This window comes from Homo sapiens, chromosome 5 (genome assembly GCF_000001405.40).
Source record: "Homo sapiens chromosome 5, GRCh38.p14 Primary Assembly".
NCBI classification, from domain to species: Eukaryota; Metazoa; Chordata; class Mammalia; order Primates; family Hominidae; genus Homo; species Homo sapiens.
The window spans coordinates 90,432,716-90,434,605 of record NC_000005.10 but is presented as its reverse complement, the minus strand read 5'-3'; the positions used below and the strand labels follow the sequence as shown (position 1 = coordinate 90,434,605).

Sequence of the window (1,890 nt, the reverse complement as noted above, 5' to 3'; positions counted from 1 at the left end):
CAAGAGACATTATAGTAGGCATGGAGTACAGGATTAATTGCCAGAGAAGTGGTTTGGAGCGTAGTTCTCAACATGTGGTGGTCAAATCACATTGAGTTTCTAAGACTGTACTCCTTTCTCTCTCACTGATCACACCCATGCCACCATGTCATAACACTCCAGGATGAATACAATTAGTATATAAATGAATTCAAATACCTATGTAGGCCGTAATGCGTAAAGTGAAGCAGTACATTTGCAATAATGAGTGGAGGAACTCCCACAGAAAGGAGAGCGTAAGTCCCACCTAAAGGGGGCAGCAGTGCCTTGGCTGTGAGGTGGTACAGCACCCATGTGGATAGATTCTCAGTTCTTAAAGAAAAGTCAGAAATCTAAAGTCTTTGTTCCTGATTTTTAAATGTTAGCAACAAAATGAAACATTTTAAGCATACTTTCCATACATTTTATTTAGCTTGTAGGTGACCCCTGGTCTCTGGTCCACAAGTTTTCCTCAGCAAATTGCAGTCTGGCTTTTCCAGTGAGATTGCTTTTCCAAAAGTTATCCTACACCAGCTTTGTGACCCAAGGCAGATAATTTAACTTGTTTGAGTATCAGAGCTTTCTTGCCTATGATATCAACCTCATAGGATGTATGTGAACAGTAAATGAGAAAAATCCTGTAAAACACAGTACATAGAAGTTAACACAAAGTACTCCACGAATGTTTGTTCCTGCTCTGCTGCAACCATACTGCAATCTGGCCTTCTGTATCAACATGGCATACCTTTAAATACCTTTGTGCCATCTCTCCTTCTGCCAGTGCACACTCTTCTCCCCTCAGCCTCCGAGTTTTAACTTCTTGAGTAATGTGCCGTCTCAAGTTGAGTATAAATTTCTTGATAGTAAAGATTACTCGAGTTCTTCCCCTCCCCCATTTAAAAAACGGTTTTATGCTGGAAATTTTCAATCACGTACAATGTAGAGAGAACAGTATAATCAACCCTTGCATACTGACCCATCCTCAACAATTTTCTTTCTTTTCTTTTTTTTTCTTTTTGAGACAGAGTTTCACTCTTGTTGCCCAGGCTGGACTGCAACGGCTTGATCTCAGCTCACTGCAACCTTCGCCTCCAGGGTTCAAGCAATTCTCCTGCTTCGGCCTCCCCAGTAGGTGGGACTACAGGTGTCTACCACCACGCCCAGTTAATTTTTGTATTTTTAGTAGAGATGGGGTTTCACCATGTCAGTCAGGCTGTTCTTGAACTCCTGACCTCAGGTGATCTACCCGCCTCGGCCTCCCAAAGTGCTGGGATTACAGGCATGAGCCACCATGCCTGGCCCCTGAACAATTTTCAATGCATGGCCGATTTGGTTTCATCTACACCCTCACTAACCAATTCCCCCTGACACTGCATTATTTTGAAGCCTGCTAAAGACATCACATCATCTCACTTGTAAATACTTCAATAGTTAAACAGCTTTTTAAGGAATGTGTGAGAAAGAAAATAATGCTGTGGAAAGATTATTAATGATGATGGGGAGGTAGAGGGCAAGCAGGAGAGACTGACTAGTAATATGTATCCTACAAAGATGAGGGTTCTTTTCTTTCCAAGATTTAAAAATTTAAAAATTCTGCATAAGCCAGTACTACACAGCTTGAACAAAATATGTGGGCACATTCTGGCCATCAGGCCATAAGTATGCAAGCTTTGCTATAAATAATAAATGGGGAAAGGGGCAATCAGCAAGGGATAGACTCATAATAGCGTCAGTTTAAAGGAAGGAATTCAGTCTCCAATTGCCAGGTAAACTTGTGAGTTTTAAAATGGTTTCCACCTTAGAGTTCTCACAATTAGAAAAAAATTTTAGAATACGTTTTGCATAAGTCTTGGTTGATAATAGAAATGCTGT

The 1,890-nt window shown here is 40.9% G+C and overlaps 1 annotated feature.

Annotated features, from left to right (window-relative positions):
- Nucleotides 276-365: a silencer, noted in NCBI's record as "silent region_16167". NCBI's record gives its function as "represses an Ori minimal core promoter by ATAC-STARR-seq in GM12878 lymphoblastoid cells {active_cell/tissue: GM12878}" and the evidence as "EXISTENCE:reporter gene assay evidence [ECO:0000049][PMID:35858748]".